The sequence below is a fragment of the Homo sapiens genome, chromosome 3 (assembly GCF_000001405.40).
Source record: "Homo sapiens chromosome 3, GRCh38.p14 Primary Assembly".
NCBI classification, from domain to species: Eukaryota; Metazoa; Chordata; class Mammalia; order Primates; family Hominidae; genus Homo; species Homo sapiens.
Genome location: NC_000003.12, coordinates 105,673,595 through 105,691,952, shown reverse-complemented (window position 1 = coordinate 105,691,952; position 18,358 = coordinate 105,673,595). Strand labels below are relative to the sequence as shown.

At 34.4% G+C, this 18,358-nt stretch overlaps 1 protein-coding gene across 44 annotated transcripts in view; it reads left to right on the top strand.

Moving 5' to 3' along the window:
- The window catches only part of CBLB (Cbl proto-oncogene B), a 213,989-nt gene that overhangs the window by 177,497 nt on the left and 18,134 nt on the right, over positions 1 to 18,358 (top strand). For 25 of the 44 annotated variants that reach the window (NR_135810.2, NR_135811.2, NR_135808.2 and 22 more), the window contains 4 exons: positions 6,487 to 6,633; positions 10,135 to 10,229; positions 10,343 to 10,474; positions 13,382 to 13,522. Coding sequence is in view for 35 of the 44 variants with exons in the window: in XM_011513257.2 (XP_011511559.1) it covers positions 6,487 to 6,633; positions 10,135 to 10,229; positions 10,343 to 10,474; positions 13,382 to 13,522 (515 nt within the window). In the remaining 9 variants the exon portion in view is untranslated. Of the gene's footprint in view, positions 1 to 6,486; positions 6,634 to 10,134; positions 10,230 to 10,342; positions 10,475 to 13,381; positions 13,523 to 16,075; positions 16,194 to 18,358 lie in introns of all 44 variants that reach the window. The other 19 variants (NR_135809.2, NM_001321790.2, NM_001321791.2 and 16 more) reach the window with 4 other exon arrangements.

Below are 18,358 nucleotides of genomic sequence, written 5' to 3'. Positions count from 1 at the left end.
TTTGGAGGAGAGGCTGTTATAGACTTTGTGAATGAAGGATGTCATGGAGGGATGGGCATTTCATGACTCATGAAGTACAGGCACAATTGGGAAAGGCAGAATGTGAGAAAAAACAAGGGTGTGAAATTTGGCATCATTCAGGGGACGGTGGGAAACTCAGCGAATTAGATCATTCTCCAGTGGGAACTTCTCTTGGAACTGCGAGATATTTAGCAGGCATAGGAGTTGGAAGCAATTATACATACTCTGGGTAGTAGGCTCTAAATCAGTGACAACATATGATTATATTCTAGTGCTAAATGAACTCTGGATATATGTGCATGTAATAAAACATCTAAGCTCAATTACCTTTGATAACTCAGAGAACATTAGAAAATGAAATCTTGCTAATTAGAGATTAAATGTTCACATTCTGTTTATTAAATTCATATTGGCAAGCGAGCTGGAAGTTGCAGTGTGCTTCATTTGTATTTAACATTAAATACCTGCTTCTCCTGTAAATGAAGCAAGAATAACAAATTGATAGTAAAATGTATTTTTTCTAATACTTCAGTTGGTAAGTGCATCTAAAATTAGTCATACTTTCTCCCTATTTACTCTTGATTTTTCCCTCAGAAACAGTGCAATTGTTTCACTTAACTAGAGAAATATTTTAACAGTGCATGCTTGCCAGCAAATTAGTTTTCAATTTTGCATGCTGCAAGTCAGCCATAGTTAGCAGTACAAATGCTAGCTTTTAATGGCACAGTTATCTCTCCAGTTTATTTTTGTTTCTGACTCTGTGGGTAGCAGTTGTTCACTGTAGACAATATGCAAAGTATATAAGAGAAAGAAAAAAGTGAGATACATAAGCACAAGCATATGCATATGCTAAATATCAATGTCCAGAGTTTTAACATTTTGACATTTTTTATTTAAACTTGTTTTTACCTTATTTAGATTATATGGTAGAGATAATTTTATGCCCTCCTTTCTTAACATTATCATAAGCATTTTTCTTAATTGTTTAGTTATGCATTGTGTTTATTACAAAACCAGCATGGAATGCTGATGTGAACAGTAGAATAAAATCAGACTGTGTACCACACCTGACTCCGCCATTAAGTATTTGTCTTTTTTTTTTTTTTTTTTGAGATGGAGTCTCACTCTGTCGCCCAGGCTGGAGTGCAGTGGCGCGATCTCGGCTCACTGCAACCTCTGCCTCCTGGGTTCAAGCGGTTCTCCTGCCTCAGCCTTTCAAGTAGCTGGGACTATAGTCGTCCGCCACTATGCCCGGCTAATTTTTTTATTTTTAGTGGAGACGGGGTTTCACCATATTGGCCAGGCTGGTCTCGAACTCCTGACCTTGTGATCCACCCGCCTCACACTCCCAAAGTGCTGGGATTACAGGCGTGAGCCACCATGCCCAGCCTTTGTCTTATTTTTAACAGGAAAACTTCTCTGGGCCTTTCCCCATCTGGTAGAAGAGAGGATCAGTTTAACTTAAATTATCTCCAAAATCCTTTTGAGATTCAGCTTTTTAGGTTCTATACAGTGTGTTTTTTTAAAGGATACTGATGGCAAACCTGACAATAACAGTGAGTCAAGAGTCTTGGCTGTGGATGGTCTTAGAACAGAGGTCTTAGCAAAATGCCACTCACAGAAATAGGAATGTCAGATGTTCGAGAGTTCATTTCCATCTTAGACTCTTGGTATATGTTTCAAAATCAGGCCAAAGCAAAATTACGCATTCCTACCAAACATACACTTCTGTAGTTCTTACAAATGTTGAAAACTCCAATGTTAAATCCAAGAATGTCAAAGCTAACATTTACCTTACATTTATACTATGTTGTTATAAATATTTACTGAAATAGAATTGTTAAATATTTGATATTGTTTACTCTGATTCCCATTTACATGATGTCAGAGGCTGCTGTCATAGTGTTTCCTGTTAAACTGTATCTTTGCAATTATTTGACTTTTATTGTGTAATTTGTCTTGAGACCTAGAAGAGTATGAAATTTACTTTTAAAAAACATACTGTTGTAAAAGCAATCTGAAATTATTTGTATCTATATACTTAATTTTTCTAAATTAATGTTTTTTTCTAAATGGTTTCTGCTTAACATCTTTGACACTTAGCTATAAATATAAAATTTTAAGTAAATCCTAGAAACATGGGTAATTATTTTTTTGGAGGGAGAACAAAATAATCCTATGTGGATTCTTTTTACTTTATAGTTTAAATTATTTATTTACTAAATTATATTTATTTTGAAATAATTTGATTTTTCAAAATTAAAACTAAATGATACTCTGAATAGTTAAGGAAATATTTATTTTACTTGGCACACAATAGATTGGCAAATGAACAGAGGCATTATTACAAGTAATAATGGAGTAATTACTTCCAGGTAAGATAATGTTCTGAAATGCTGAGGAATATCTTTTTTTTTTTTTAAGAATTTTTTTTGTGTGTGTGCCTTGTCTTTTAGAGATGGACCTTTTGTACTTTTGATATATTAAACTTAGGCTTTCAAATAGCCATGAATCAATATTACTTGGTTTTGCATTTTTGTAAGAAAGGTTTTTTTGTTGTTGGAGGTGGTATTATCTATTTTTATGAATATATATTCTTATAATATATATTTTTCTAAAGAGATAAGTCCTTGTATTTTTGGTTCCATAAACAGAGAATACAAATTTCACCTAACTGTCCTGTTTTCATTCAGTTGCTTTACTTACTAGAGGTTCAGTTTGTACAAGATAAAATCCTTTATCCTCTTTGGAATTTAAGCTCTAGTTAGGGAGAAGAGAAAGTAAACAAATAACTATATTGTATATTGTCAGCTAGTGGTAAGTGCTAGGAGGAAAAATAAGCAGGGAAGAGGATAAATAATGATAGAGAGGTTTATACTTTAGATGAGGTCATTAGGAAAGACCTCTCTGAAAGGCTAATATTTGAACAGAAACTTGAAGGAAGTAAGGGAGCAAACCATGAGGTTATCTGTGTGAAGAGCACAGAGGCTGGATAGAACACAAGTACAAAGCAACTTCAAATCTGTTTCTCCGATTTACAAACAAGTTAGTGAAAATGCTTATAAGTAAAGCTTATCTTAAAGCTTGATAGTATACCACACAGACTTTTTTTTGATGTCATGAAAGACCCTTGAAAATTAGCATGTATATGATAAAATTTAGTGTTTTGAGGAAATGATTTATATGTGGCACATGTGCAAAAATCATTTCAAATATAGCTATATTTTGTTTTGTCTCTTCTCTGGACTATTTATTTGAGTTAGACATTTTTCCCTGTTAGGATTGGGATAATGTAATATAAGAAATATGGTGTAATGTATAGGGCAAGCTCTAAAGATTCTATTTTAACAGAAGATATTTTTTCGTTACTTGCCTTCAGATACTATTAAAGGAAGATAGATTCTTATATGTAGAAAACAAGCTTACTAATTAAGCATAGCATTGGATACTATCTCCTGTGCTGGCGTGAAAATTCACTTGTTTCTTGGTTTGTTTCAAGTGTGCATATGTAGAAGATGAATGTATTTATCACTGAAGGCTCAAATAACTAACACAATGAATTTAATAAAATGTCCAGGTTGTGGGGGGGGTGGTGACTATGCATCTTTGAGAGTGTATGTCCCTATGTATTACCAGTGTATTAACTCAGTAATAACAGCATCAGTGCAGAACACTCCGGGAATGTAAGATGAGAATATAAAGGGATTGCAGTAATAAGTGTAATGGTAGGCTTTAATGTGGAGTCAGCCAAATACAATTTGTTCAGCTTTATTCCTCTGGTATCCTAAAAATTTCCCGTAAGTTTAGTCAATGACTGAAAATTGTCCCATGCCCCATAAGATAGAAATTTTTTCTACTGCCAAATGTCACATACATGGATAGATAATGACTAAATATAAATCTAATTATTTTACCTGTTATTTAGTAGTAAGTAAAATTAAACCTGTTTTTTGAATGAGTTTGTAGAGGAAAATAAAACCCCACATGTAATTCCAGATGGTATAATTAGTTACATGACTCTAGTTTTTTATTTTGCTATTTTATATACAACTTCTTTATCTCATTTGTACCATCCTCTTCTGTTATTTTTTTTGATAGAAACCAGTTTTTTTTTTCAGAACTGGATAAGATTAATTTTTAATAAAAACTATGTAATCTTGAATAAAATACACTGTAATGTTATTCTTTTGGTTTATTTCTAATCCAAATAGACTATTATACTGATATTAAACATTTTCATTAAAAAACATAAGCAGAAAAATAAAATCTGAATCTTTAGAACTTTATTAAAATGGTGATAAATGGAACACCTAAGTATTTTTTTCATATTTAGATACAAACACCACTTGAAAACTATTTTTTCACTTCTAGATATAATTCTCTAAAATCTGTGTAAGTTGACAATTTATACTAGTAAGTTTTAGCAATAAGCCTTATTATTCCATGAAGTATTAGATGAGCTTTGCTTTTCACTTCATTCTGAAATAATCTACTGATTTGTGGCAAAGCAAAAGAGTGGGGGAAATTACTCGAGAAATTCTCTATCAATGAAGGTAAAATATCAAATTAGCCACAACGTATGTGATTTAAAAAATGGTCCATTGTTGACTCATAATGAACTGCTTCTTTGGAAACTTAAATCTTTGGAGGGAACCTGCAACAGGCAGATCTTAGAACATTTCTGATATTGAATAGTTGTTGAATGTTTAGTGAAAAATACTGTTTTCTTTTTACATAGTGTATGCTTGAATTGCATAGAAAGGGATTCATTATAAATGAAAGTATCTTAGGCATAGAGAGGATGTACAGTATATATTTCTCATTTCATTTGGTAATAGAACCCATTCTGGTCCTTGACTTAGCTAAATTGATGGCTGTGTTTACAGGAATTTATGGAAAAGTAATATTATAAGTCTCTCCCAGTTCCAGTGCCATCAGATCACCATTTTGCAGCCCATATACTTAACTTCCTTTAATTGGAAAGTAAATCCTCCAAAGTTAAACCATAATAGGTGTAATAATAGATTATTATTAAGGCCCTTAGCTTGTGCTGTAGGTAGTGACACTGGACCTTTTGTCACTATGCTTTTGTCTCTGTGCTTTTGTCTCCCTGTAACGCTCATGTGAATTCTAAAGTTGCTCAAACAACAAGAATTTAAAGATCAGTATTGAAATTTTTTTCAAAGATAGGTATCAATAAACATACACTTGAAAAATCTTAGTTTTTCTTTGATCTTTGAATGTCCTATCTAATGACTTAGATAATATGGTTGAAACTTAAATCTTTAGATTTTTCAAAATGCCTTCTTGTAATGGTCACAAAGAAAAGCCCCTAAAATTGTTTCTGTTCTAACTAATAAAAAGAAATAAAAATGAATGTTAATTCAGGCATGTTTGTTTAATATACCAAAGGCCTCTTGCTCCCTCTATAGAAGGTGCTGCAAAATTGCAGTCACTTAGTTTTTTTGTTTTTTTTTTTTCCTTCCTTTTTAAATTGAACAGATTTCTCATGAGGTTCATGATGATTAACAAAAAGATTTGGATCCATGTGTGTATTCCCAATGCCTTGCAAACTAGTTGGTCGTCCTAAAGTGAATCAGGATGAGTTTGTGCATTTCTGCCTTGGCATTTTTCATTGGCTTCAGCCAGGGTTAGATTAAACTCTGGTAGCAACAGTTACGAAAAACATTGTTTATGTTTGCCCATTTGTTTGGGTTTGTTTTATTTGGTTTATTTACTCTTATGGATAAGTGAAATGCTTAATGTTTTTGATATTAGGTGATGGTTTTACTCATTTTAATTCTCTTTTATTTAGCCAGGGAATTTAAACCATAAAAATAATGTACTTCAAAGACTTAAAAATAAGTTCTCTCATTATCTACATCTAATCATTCCATTCATTTCTAGCTCTCAGTTGTTGGTAGGAAGAAAAACCTAACAACTTCAACTATAATTTCACAGGATAGTTAAGTTTTACAGAATTAAACTGGATATTTTTCCAACTATAGATAATATTCACAGGAGACAAAAAGTTTGACCATTCTATAAAGACTTCTTTAATATATAAAACAACCATGCTTATTATTGTAGCATCATATTTTACCCATTTAATTTAAATTGGAACAAAATATTAATATTTTAATAGATTTGGTTTGAATAAATTTGTACATTTTGTCTTACAAATCCAACATCTTTTTATTTTATTCGACAGGTTACTAGTTTTTCCTATTGTGCCATTTAAAATTGTGAGGATGAAAATTCTTTTATCCCATCAAGGGTCTTAACAAAAGATTGAAAATTGTTTTCATTTGTATTTGATATAAGAACAGCTTCTCTGATGATACCCTGTAATTGAAAAATGAACATAAGTGATAAAGTAGCTTCTTTGACTTGAATATGTCACATCAGACTTGCCTGTTTTGAATATTATGCTTAAACTAGATTGGATTTTTTTTCCCCTGGTAGGTGTACTGGTCCGTTAGCAAATTCTCTTTCAGAGAAAACAAGAGACCCAGTAGAGGAAGATGATGATGAATACAAGATTCCTTCATCCCACCCTGTTTCCCTGAATTCACAACCATCTCATTGTCATAATGTAAAACCTCCTGTTCGGTAAGAGTATGGGCAGATTTTTGCCACTTACATCTGCATAAGCATTATCATTTGTAATGTTTGTTTTTAAACAATTGATTCACGTCTAATTAAAAATCCTTAATTTCCAGCTCAAATCCTTCTCTTCCTATTATACCATTTCCAGCATTACTTTTAAAGAAAACTAAAAGATGCAGATTTCTCATTAATCAGGAAGTCACTTTATTTTATCAGTTCTAAACACCTATCTCATGAAGAAAAATTAGTGCTCAGAAACTAAGGTATTATTCTGACCTTCCTTAGAATTTTTCTTCATGATGTACATACTAGTATAATTTAAATTCATTTTCCTTCTTGATGTACTTGCTACCTACTTCTATTCAGATTTTGAAGAAGTGGGAAAAAAATACCAAGGTGTTTCTCTTAACTTTTTGTTTTTCTATCAAGTGCTATTTACCTTCCTTTAGATCAAATAAGAATGTGAGGAATAGGCCAGGCGTGGTGGCTCACGCCTGTAATCCTAGCACTTTGGGAGGCTGAGGCGGGCAGATCATGAGGTCAGGAGTTTGAAACCAGCCTGACCAACATGGTGAAACCCTGTCTCTACTAAAAATACAAAAATGAGCCGGGTGTGGTGGTGGGCGCCTGTAATCCCAGCTACTCAGGAGGCTGAGGCAGGAGAATCGCTTGAACCCGGGAGGCGGAGGTTGCAGTGAGCCGAGATTGTGCCACTGCACTCCAGCCTGGGTGACAGAGCGAGACACCATCTCAAAAAAAAAAAAAGAATGTGTGGAATAATGGGGGTTTTTTCCTTACTTTTGTGGCTTATTCTCACTTACATGGGGATAGCCTTGGTCTTTGACTTGGAAGCTCCATCGAGGTAAATAAGAGTTATTAATAATGGGTTGTTTGTATTGAAATATTACTTTATCTTTAAGTAAAGGCATGAGTCTGCATTTATATTATTGAATTTATAAACTGAAATCTATTATTTCTGGGTTTGTTTGTTTTACCTGACTGAAATATATGAGGTACTCAGTACTCCCAGCTACAAAACTTACTTTCTGAGTTCTGGTTTCCTTTGTATAACATTCCTGGGGCCATGCTTGGCACATAGAATAGGGCTCAAGTACTGCTGGTGGCCCTACATTCCAGCATCTCTCCATGACTGACTGAGGGATAGGGGAGATGGCAATTACTTCAGTCATCTGTGCCATCTTTACTTAGTGTGCCATTTCCTTTTGAGGTCAAGTCAATCAACTGAAAACATTTTATAAGTACAGTGTTCCCTTCTTTTCCAATGAAAAACTAAAAAATGTTTTAATGTGTTTCTTCAGGCATCTCACTGAGGTAGGAAATGCAGCACTTGGAAAGAGAAGCACATTTTCATTTTAAGCAGATGTCTGTCTTAATAAGTGACCCTGGTTAGAATTATCAACATTCTGCTGAATTATTACCCAGAATTGTTAATAGTCTACAGCGCAGGACTTTATTTTTTTAAAAGCAAGAACCTAAACACTCCTTGCTATTGCTGGTGTTTAGATAAGACATCTGTTGATAAAATCATATCATTGAGAAGACAAAGAAATAACGAGGAGCTAATTTTATGTATCAGAAGAACCAAGTAGCTAGTGATGTATTTGAGAACAAAAGATATTCCTTCTCATCAAATATAAGTTGTTACAATTTTCGGTTCTTTGGCTCTTACAAATGTGCAGTAATTTTTAAAAACTAAAGTAGGATGAGCTTTTTTTGGTCTCTTTGGGAGTCTTATTTTTTTTCATTGCTGGATAAGTGAGGAGTATAATTTTAATACGTTAAATTTTAATTGTTACATCATATTGGATGTGATTTTTTGTGGCAGAGCTCCCAAATCTTGAAAATAAATTTGAATTATAACCATCATTACCATTTTTCTATTGTTACAGAAAAGTAATAAACGTTGATAATCCCTAAATGTAATTGGAGTGAATTCTTTATCTAATTTGTTCTTGAAAGCTGATGGATGAAGTATCTTCTTTTGTGCTCTCCAAAGAGCTCTTTAAGCTTAACACTTTCTTTCCCTGTGTGTATTTTTCCCCCTTTGGAACATCAGGAGAAGTGAATTGTCAATATGTAGAAAAAGTGACCCAGTAAATGAGTAATTCAATTTAATTTCAGTAAAAATCCATCATTATTATGAAGATTCAATACATGATAACTATTTTTAAATGAACTATATCTGGCCCCTTAAAGAGAAGTGGCCACCAGAGAGAATAGAAATGAATTTCAGATGAAGCATTCTTGCATTATCTATTCAAATATCCGTCTCTTCCATTACATACGCACTTTTACTTTGCTCTAAAAATTCAGAGTAAATCAGAGAAAAGTAAAATGTAAACTCTGATTTCTATAGCTCTTTGTCAGTTGATTGTTATAGAGCTATATGCTGAAGGCAAAATATGCTCCTTATCTTCTCTTCCTGCTGCTATCTTCCCATGGCTCAATTTTAACCATTGTGTTCATAGTATGATTCCGAAGAATTAATACCAATAATTTGGCTGGGTTCGGTGGCTCATGCCTGTTATCCCAGCACTTTGGGAGGGTGAGGTAGGCAGATCACTTGCGGCCAGGAGTTTGAGACCAGCCTGGGCAACATGGCAAAACCCTACTAAAAAATAAAAAAAATTGGCTGGGCGTGGTGGTGCACGCTTGTAATCCCAGCTACTTGGGAGGCTAAGGCATGGGAATTGCTTGAACCTGGTAGGCGGAGGTTGCGGTGAGCCAAGATCATGCCACTGCACTCCAGCCTTTGCAACACACAGATACACACACAACAAAACAAAAAAAGCCCCAACAACTCAAGCATACTTTTCTGGTAAGTAGTACCCTTTACAAACACATTAAAAACTGTACTTGTCGTGTACCCAAGGCCTTTGCTAAAGTCATTTTCTGTAGTGTCAGAGGGCCAGAATTTTGTTCTTGGCAGTGGTGAAATAGTACCACAGGCTCTAGTTCTTTGAATGTTCCTGTCAGAATTGTAATGGAATTATTGAAAGTTCAATAATTTTTCTTCTTTTATGTGCTGTAGCTTATTTTTATTACAAGGAAATTTTAAGTTACAGAAGCAAAAATATGATATTAAATACTATCAACAAATAATAAAGTCATTGAGACTGCTATATGTTTTTGCCTTGGCACATACATCTTTTTTTACTTCAAAAACTTGACCAGGTTCTATTGAATTCTTCCACAGAGATAAGTTAATTTTACATAGTGTTTAGGATATCAACAATTTTTGTGGCCCTTGTAATTCTTGGTTATAGTTTAAAAAAAGAGAGACTGTGTTACTTGAGATATTTACTTCTACATTTTAAAATAAGGGATGAGTATCTTGATGTTATTACTGGTAATTTTGAGAAAAGAAAAATATATGTTCAAACTTTATTAAATAAACAGGAATACTAGTTCCCTCTACCTCTCAAGTTACTTTTAATTGGAAAGTATTCTCCTTATATAATTTTACTCTGAACTGTCCTTTAGGTCTTGTGATAATGGTCACTGTATGCTGAATGGAACACATGGTCCATCTTCAGAGAAGAAATCAAACATCCCTGACTTAAGCATATATTTAAAGGGTACGTATAGAATATAATTTCCTTTGTGATGTACATCTTAATGGTCAGAATTTAAAGGCAAAATTTCATGCCATTGTACTGAAAATACATTAAGGTTTTGTGTTATCCTCTAGGAGATGTTTTTGATTCAGCCTCTGATCCCGTGCCATTACCACCTGCCAGGCCTCCAACTCGGGACAATCCAAAGCATGGTTCTTCACTCAACAGGACGCCCTCTGATTATGATCTTCTCATCCCTCCATTAGGTTGAAACCTTTAAAAAAGTTTTGAACAACCCACCCCTCCTTCTTTTAATTTCAGAATTTTCAGAATTCAGAGTTCAGTATAACACAGACTCACTGGGTTGTGAATTTGCCTGAAATTTGAATGGGTTCTCCAGGTGCCGGTGACTCCCAAGTTCACGAGACCATTACTCCATGTAGATGATTAAGGTAGTAGTGTAGTAGTTGGGCATCAGTCAGGTTTTAAGCAAGTTGTTTTGTCCATACTAAATGTAGTCTAAAAACACATGAGAGCTTTGTGCTCTAGTAGTTTTGAAGTGATGACTTGAAGTGTTGAGATTTTCTTTAAGTATAATAATTCTTAATAAATATGAACTTGCTTTTCTTGCAGCATGAGCACCAGTTCCACTTACGCTAATTAAATTATGCAAAATTAAATAGTTGTATGTAGAGAACTGATAATAAATTCTGTTTTATTCTAATCATTACAACTGTAACACATTCAAAAAAATCTCAATTTCCTTGTTTCAAATTATAATAATGAAGAAACATCCTATGTGTATTTTTGTTTGTATCCACAGGTGAAGGTATATGTAGGTGTGTGTATATGTTGAAGTTGGCTGGTGCCACTGTCACTGTTAATTTCATTAATTCTAATTAGGAAGCATCTCACCCTGTTTTTAGAAGACAGAATGTCTGCACACCTTACATAACGCTTCACAATAACAAGTCACTGTAACATAAAATAATATATGATGAAAGTCAATTTACAAGCTTTTCTGAACTGGCTGTTAGGCCACCAGAAATACGAAATGAACCTTTCCATTTTCTCACAAGTACCACTGACTAGTATTTTGAATGACACAATTGCAGTATCTTTTGCTCCTGTTCTCTCTGTAGTTCAGGACTTTATTCTCACCTACATCAATTACAAAAGGCTCCTAACTCTGTTACCTACAGTCTTTCTCTCCCTTCCACTTCTTCCTGCACACTTGTTTTTGACATATTACCCAGATCTTCATCACCTGGATAAGCATTGTTCAATAAAGCTTTCTGTGGTGATGTAAAGGATCTGTATATTTGCATATGGGTTAAGTGTGATTATGGAACTGACTTTTCATTAAATTTAAATAGCTAAATGTGGATGGGTGACTACTTTATATGACAAAGTAGACAGATTTTCCAACCTGTCTTTTTACCTTGACCTTTTTCTAGGTCTTCTTATGCGTGTCATTTTTTTCTTCATACTGTTTACTCTACTTAGACGATCCTGTCCTTGCATTTGATGAATAAATTTTTGAGCCTTCTGATATCCCAGGACTTCCTGTTCTTCAACACTTCACTGAATACCACTTGTCTACATTTCTCTTTCCTCATCCAATGCATATGTCTCTTTTATGGGACCAATAAAACACTTTCACTTGTAAATCATACCTATTTGTGAGCTTTTTTTTAAGCTCCTTTCATGGAATCTCAGCTCCTTGAGTCAGAGCCTTATAATTTTGATTTTCATATCATGCATGAGCCTGGCCCAGTGTCAGATGTTTAAGGGCTGAAAAAAGATTTGAATAAATATGATAATGTAGGAAATAGCTGAAGGTTAAAATGATAGCAAAACTCTGTCTTGTGCATCTTCAGATGTGTTAATAAGAAAAATATGATTAAAGAAATTAGTGTGCCAATTTTTTCTAAAGCAAGTTCAGTAAATAGTAATATCTTTTTTTTTTTTTGAGACAGTCTTTCTCTGTCACCAGGCTGGAGTGCAATGGCACGATCGTGGCTCACTGCAGCCTCCGCCTCCTGGGTTCAAGCGATTCCCCTGCCTCAGCCTCCCGAGTAGCCAGGATTACAGTCACGTACCACCATGCCCGGCTAATTTTTTGTATTTTAGCAGACATGGGGTTTCACCATGTTGGCCAGGATGGTCTAGATCTCCTGACCTCATGATCCACCCACCTTGGCCTCCCAAAATGCTGGGATTACAGACATGAGCCACCACGTCAAGCCTCATTTTTCTTTAAATATGCCATTATGTTTAAATCATTCAACTTAAAAGTGTGAATTTTTATTATTAGAATATGTGTTTATGTATACCCTGTCTCATTCCTAAAGTATTTTGAGATAGCTTACCAAACATGTGCTTTTTTTTTTTTTTTTTTTTTTTTTAAAGACTCAAGGTAATGAAAACTATGAGTAGAATAGTAAGGTGTGACAGGGGACAAATAAGTAGATATAAAACTATGCTGCAATATTCTAGTTATTAAAGCTGGGAAATATGCAAATGTAAGTAGTGCTTGGAACCAGAGAAGGTTCTATATTTAGCTGTTCTTCTGTAGCTAAATCTGACAAATTGAAAAATATCATATTCTCTGCTCTAGGTACATTTTATGTATATTTTGACAGCATATCAAATATATGAAACATTAGGTTAAATAAATTAAAATCCAGTGGAATAAACTATATGGGATAATCTAAACTATTCTTTGACATTAAATTATATGTATTTGAGGTGATTTTCCAGTTAAAGGCTGTGAACTCTTTTTGCTACACAGAAAATCCTGTTTTCATAGTGTGACTGATAATAATTTTTAGTTCAAACTCTGAGTCCTAATATTATAAAGGTTACAAGTGAACTATGAGCTGTTTCATAAGTTACAATGCTGCTTTTTATAAAAAGGCCTGATAGAAAAAGTTTGCATGGGTGTGTTTGTACGTATGTATGTATGTATATGTGTGCATGTGTGTGTTTCTCTCCAGACTCTCCCACAAAATAATTAGATCCCATTATCAAAGTTGGTGAACTGCTGGATAAACCCTGCGAGTGAAATTCTTTATAAGCAGCAAGAGAAAATCAATTATTACTTTTGTTAGATGCTGTGTATTTTGATTAATGAAGTTCTGCTGCTGATATCGACCTTTCTTTAAATGCAGGTGAAGATGCTTTTGATGCCCTCCCTCCATCTCTCCCACCTCCCCCACCTCCTGCAAGGCATAGTCTCATTGAACATTCAAAACCTCCTGGCTCCAGTAGCCGGCCATCCTCAGGACAGGATCTTTTTCTTCTTCCTTCAGGTAGGAGGGAAAAGCCAAAGAAAACTATTCACTTAAAGCAAAAATATTTCCAAAACCATACTATCAAATAAATGTTAGTGATTCATTAGTCTCTACCTCCCTAGCAGAACAGAAAAATCCCTGGGTGGTAAAAGTAGCAATCGTGGGTACGTTTGTTTGTCAGTTGATTGGTTTAATGCCAACATAATTACAGAGATGGAAAGAGCAATAAGGAACTACAGTAGAAATGATGCTGTAGAGATTGTCCAGTCCAGAAACCTCCTTATGTTACAAATGCAACCCTGAGAACCAGAACTGCTAAGGGGTTAGGCTAATAGTAATGGGAACAATATTTAGACTTTGTCTTCCGATTCCCAATGCAATGTTTTTTAATAGGTTTTTAAAATTTTACTAGATATGCCTTAGTGTCATAATTTTGTTCAAAACATAAGATTTTGGTAAATTATGTTGTTATAACAAGAATAGAGAAGTTTTTCTGAAATAGCTGCATTTTATTGTTTTGTTGTGATATTTTTAATGCCTCAGTGTGTATCTACTCACTAATTATTGGTATTCTAAGGAAAACTAATTTTTTCTTAGTAACTATTTAATATTATTATTTACATATGTATATATTATATAATATTATTTGTTTAATATTAGTAAACTAATTTTTTATATTAGTATATTTTAAAATTTCAAAAGAGGATCTGAAATAAAAATGAAGACTTAATAAACTATCTGTTGCATTAGTTAGAATTATCAGGAAAAAGAAAAAAAAATGTTATATGGAATCTGCTGATACTAATTAACAGTTCCAGTCTGTCTTGTTAGTGATACTGTGCCCTGAAACCTTTGCCTCCTTGGACTTGATTTGGGAAAATACAGGGTAAAGATGTTCTTTTTTTCATAGTTCCTTACATTTCTACATGAGATAAATCATGAAAATCTTTAAAAAGTGCTCAGTTTGTCCTTTAGCTACGTATATGCCTCATGGAAACTTGAGAATCTTTATTCCCAACTGATTCCCTTATCAGCTTCCTCAGTTGATTATTAGTCATGTCTACCATTAGTTTTTCTTAGTTTTTTTTTTTTTTTTTTACTTGGTTTGATAGTTTAGAAAGTTTGAAGAGATTTGATAAGACACACAAGTTATGGACGTACAACTTGGAATACACAGCTTCAATTTCTTAAAGTGGTTTATTTTTCAAGAATAATCTTCTGCTTTTACATCAGTAAATATTGATTGAGCCATTCACTGTTTACCCATTTGTGATAGATGCCTCCTGACCTGTGGAACCTTATGAGTTTACTGGATTCTGCCAATGAAAGCACTAGTGTCATAATCCATTCCGGTCCAAGCAGGAAGTATAGTGTATGAGTCCGTTTTCACACTGCCATAAAAGCACTACCCAAGACTAGGTAATTTGTAAAGAAAAGGGGTTTCATTGCTTCACAGTTCTGCATGCCTGGGGAGGCCTCAGAAAACATACAATCATGGCAGAGGTGAAGGGGAACCAGGGCATGTCTTACATGGCAGCAGGTGCCAGAGAGAGTGAGCAAGCAGGGAAAATGCCAGACATTTATCAAAAACCAGATCTCATGAGCACTCACTATCATGAGAACAGCATGGGGGAACCACCCCCATGATCCAGTCATCTCCCATCAGTTCCCTCCCTAACACGTGGGGATTACAACTCAAAATGAAATTTGAGTGGGGACACAGAGCCAAACCATATCATAACTGCTTGGGCTTTTATTCATATAGTTAGTTACATGTAAACACTGCTGTATTTCGCTATTTTTTTTCACTTATTCAAAACTTTGTCTTATACATAGACTTTAACATGATTTTTAGAACAATGAGTCATTCCAAATCTTAGTTACTTAAATTTCCTGATGCTAAGTTCAAGATAGTTTCTGGCTCTCCTATTACCTTTTATATGCGTAACTTAAGCCCCAATAGATGGAACTTTGATGATGTGGCTTTTCTGACAAATAAAGTCAAGCTTTCCAAGAGCTATAATAAAAGAGAACATTTTACACAAATACACACTTTTACCTGTTTTTGTCAAAAGAATTGTAAAAGGTTTTAGTTATTTATTTTATCTTAATTGTTCATTTCCTTTTATATAAAATCTTCATAAAGAAACCCCTCAAGATTAATTGCTAAAAAAAATTACTAGTTTAAAATGAAAATGTCCCCTCTTATTAGCTAAAATGCAATTTTTATAAACCGTTGTATTTATTTTATAGATTTGCCTGTTTTGTGTTTGCTTGGCTGCCAGGGAGCTCAACAACACTTATCCTTAACTTAGAGTGTCAGGCTAGCATGGGAGTCAGGGCAATGTTTTTCAAGCCTGTTGACTCTCTCTTGACTTTCATTAATAGATGGACATATTCTAATTCTCTTCCCAATAATATCAACATCCCTTATAATAAGTATTTCTTAAAAAAAAAAAAAGGCAACTTTTTTGTTTCCTTTTCCAGTCTTTCATAATCATTTACATGACAGATTTCTAGTCTGGTACCAGATCCTTTATGACTTTTTTTTTTTTTTTTTTTTTGAGACAGGGTCTCACTCTGTTGCCCAGGCTGGAGTACAGTGGTGCGATCTCAGTTCACTGCAACCTCTGCCTCCAAGGTTCAAGTGATTCTCCTGCCTCTACCCCCTAAGTAGCTGGGATTACAGGTGTGCACCACTACACTCGGCTAATTTTTTATATTTTTAGTAGAGATGGGGTTTTGCCATGTTGGCCAGGCTGGTCTCGAACTCCTGGCCTTATGTGATCCCCCTGCTTCAACCTCCCAAAATGCTAGAATTGCAGGCGTGAACCACTGCACCCAGCCCCTTTATGACTTTCATTGTGACAATTATTTTGATTCAAATTTAAAACCGTGTGTATTAGCTTTCCTCCTTTTCAAAAGAAATATTTTAATATTTTAATGCTATTGCATATCATAGAGCATAAAGATTTTTTTGGCTGATAAATGAGCATTTGAGTATTGTTTTGCAAAGTATTTAATACATTATACTGTCTAAAGAAATGTAAAAGATTCATTATAGCAGTTCTCCCTAAGAATTGACTTTATTAAGAATATGCTATAAATGCTAAAGTTTAACTCAGTAGTTTTAGAATTATAAAAGGTAAATAAAAGGGACTGCAAAATTTAAACAAACTCTGTGAGCATTTTACCGTTGTTTTCGTTGTTCAGTCTGTAAAATCTTAGTCTGGTGTAATGATACATCTTTTCTAAACATTATTGAGATTTGGTTTCCTGAGGAAATAATTATTTCTAATTAAAGACAAATGATAGGTGTCTTAGGAAGAGAGGTTGAATTTTCTCATGATATTATACTAAGTACCTAATCAAGCCTACATTTTTATTCCAGCATTCAGTGCCCTGCACAGTTGGGCCAGGTTCAGCTTTTCAGCCTTATAGCTCATTGACTTCTATATAGTAGTGATTGTCAAATTGCAGTGTCCTATGTCTCTGCAAAAGTGCCTCAGTACTGTTGTAGGATCAAGGGGGCAGGGCAAGCAGAGGCAGGGCTCTCATTCTTCTTTTATCTCTTTTCTATTTTAGGCCTTCATGTAAGATTTCTTTTGGCAGAATAGTAATGCCTACAGCTGTACATGAGCCCTCAGTTTTGGACAGGCCAATCATATCTTAACAAAACCTGAAGTCCCCAACAAAAGCTTTACACTCTTTTGTCTCCAATCCCAAGGCTACCACTAGTGTATATGTGCTTTTTTCCATATTACAAAAAAGTACTTCCTTTTTGCTGGTAGATTGAAGTAGACACCCCTACCTCTACTTTGTGCCAGGTCAGGGCTCAAGAAACAAAGCAAAGACTGTATTTAAGTCCTGCTCATAACCATAACTAGGTGTCTTTGTGCAGTGCACAAAATACAGTGTTTTTGTCAGTCTTTATGCTACCTTTATTTTGCTGTTTCTCTAACCTGTAATCTCACTTGAAGATCTTATCTAATCTTAAAGTCACAGTTCAACTCTGAAAGCTAGCCAAATTGACTTTATTAAAGATAAATGGAAGTTTTATTCTTGGATCCAGAAATGCAACTGCATAAGTAAAATATGAAGAAAATCCAGATCATTAGCAACAATTGTTGAAAAGGTTTTAGGGGTTTTGTTGACTACAATCTTTATAAAGCATCATCATGATGAGAAAGCGCATGCCATTTGGGGCTTGAACTCACAGAATTCAAATCTGAGGAGTGAAGTCCTCCACAGTACTCAGCCTTTGTGGAGACCACTGTGTTCAGATGTTGAAGCATTAATGGGCTAGAGCAGCAATTCTCAAATTGTGTTCTCCGGATTCACAACATTAGCATCTCCTGGGGATTTGCTTTAAAATGAAAATTCAAGACTTAATAAATCAGAAACCCTGGGAATGGGACTCAGTGGTCACAAGCCTTCCTGGTGATTCTGATGCATGTTCAAGTTTGAAATATACTGGGCTGGGGTATTCTCAAAAAAGTGCAACCAGGATGATAAAGTAAACTAGAGTGGATTAAAGGAACTGAGAATTGGCTCAGAGAAGAGAAGACCTTGGATGTAGACGAGAGTTGTCTTCAGTTACAGTATTTGGGAAAGAAGGATTATATTTTTTCCATGTCACTTCAGAAGGTAGGAGTAAGATCAATGGGAAATGTTAAGAATGAAAATTGCATTCATCCTACAAAGAAGTTTCCTAAATCATTACGAATTGTTCTACCTTGAGTGTAGTGAGTTATCTGACACTGGAGGATTTAAACCAATGGTAGATCATTACATAGTAGAGATATGAACATGAGCTAAAGCATGAGGGCAGCAAAGAGGGGAGAACTTTGTTTC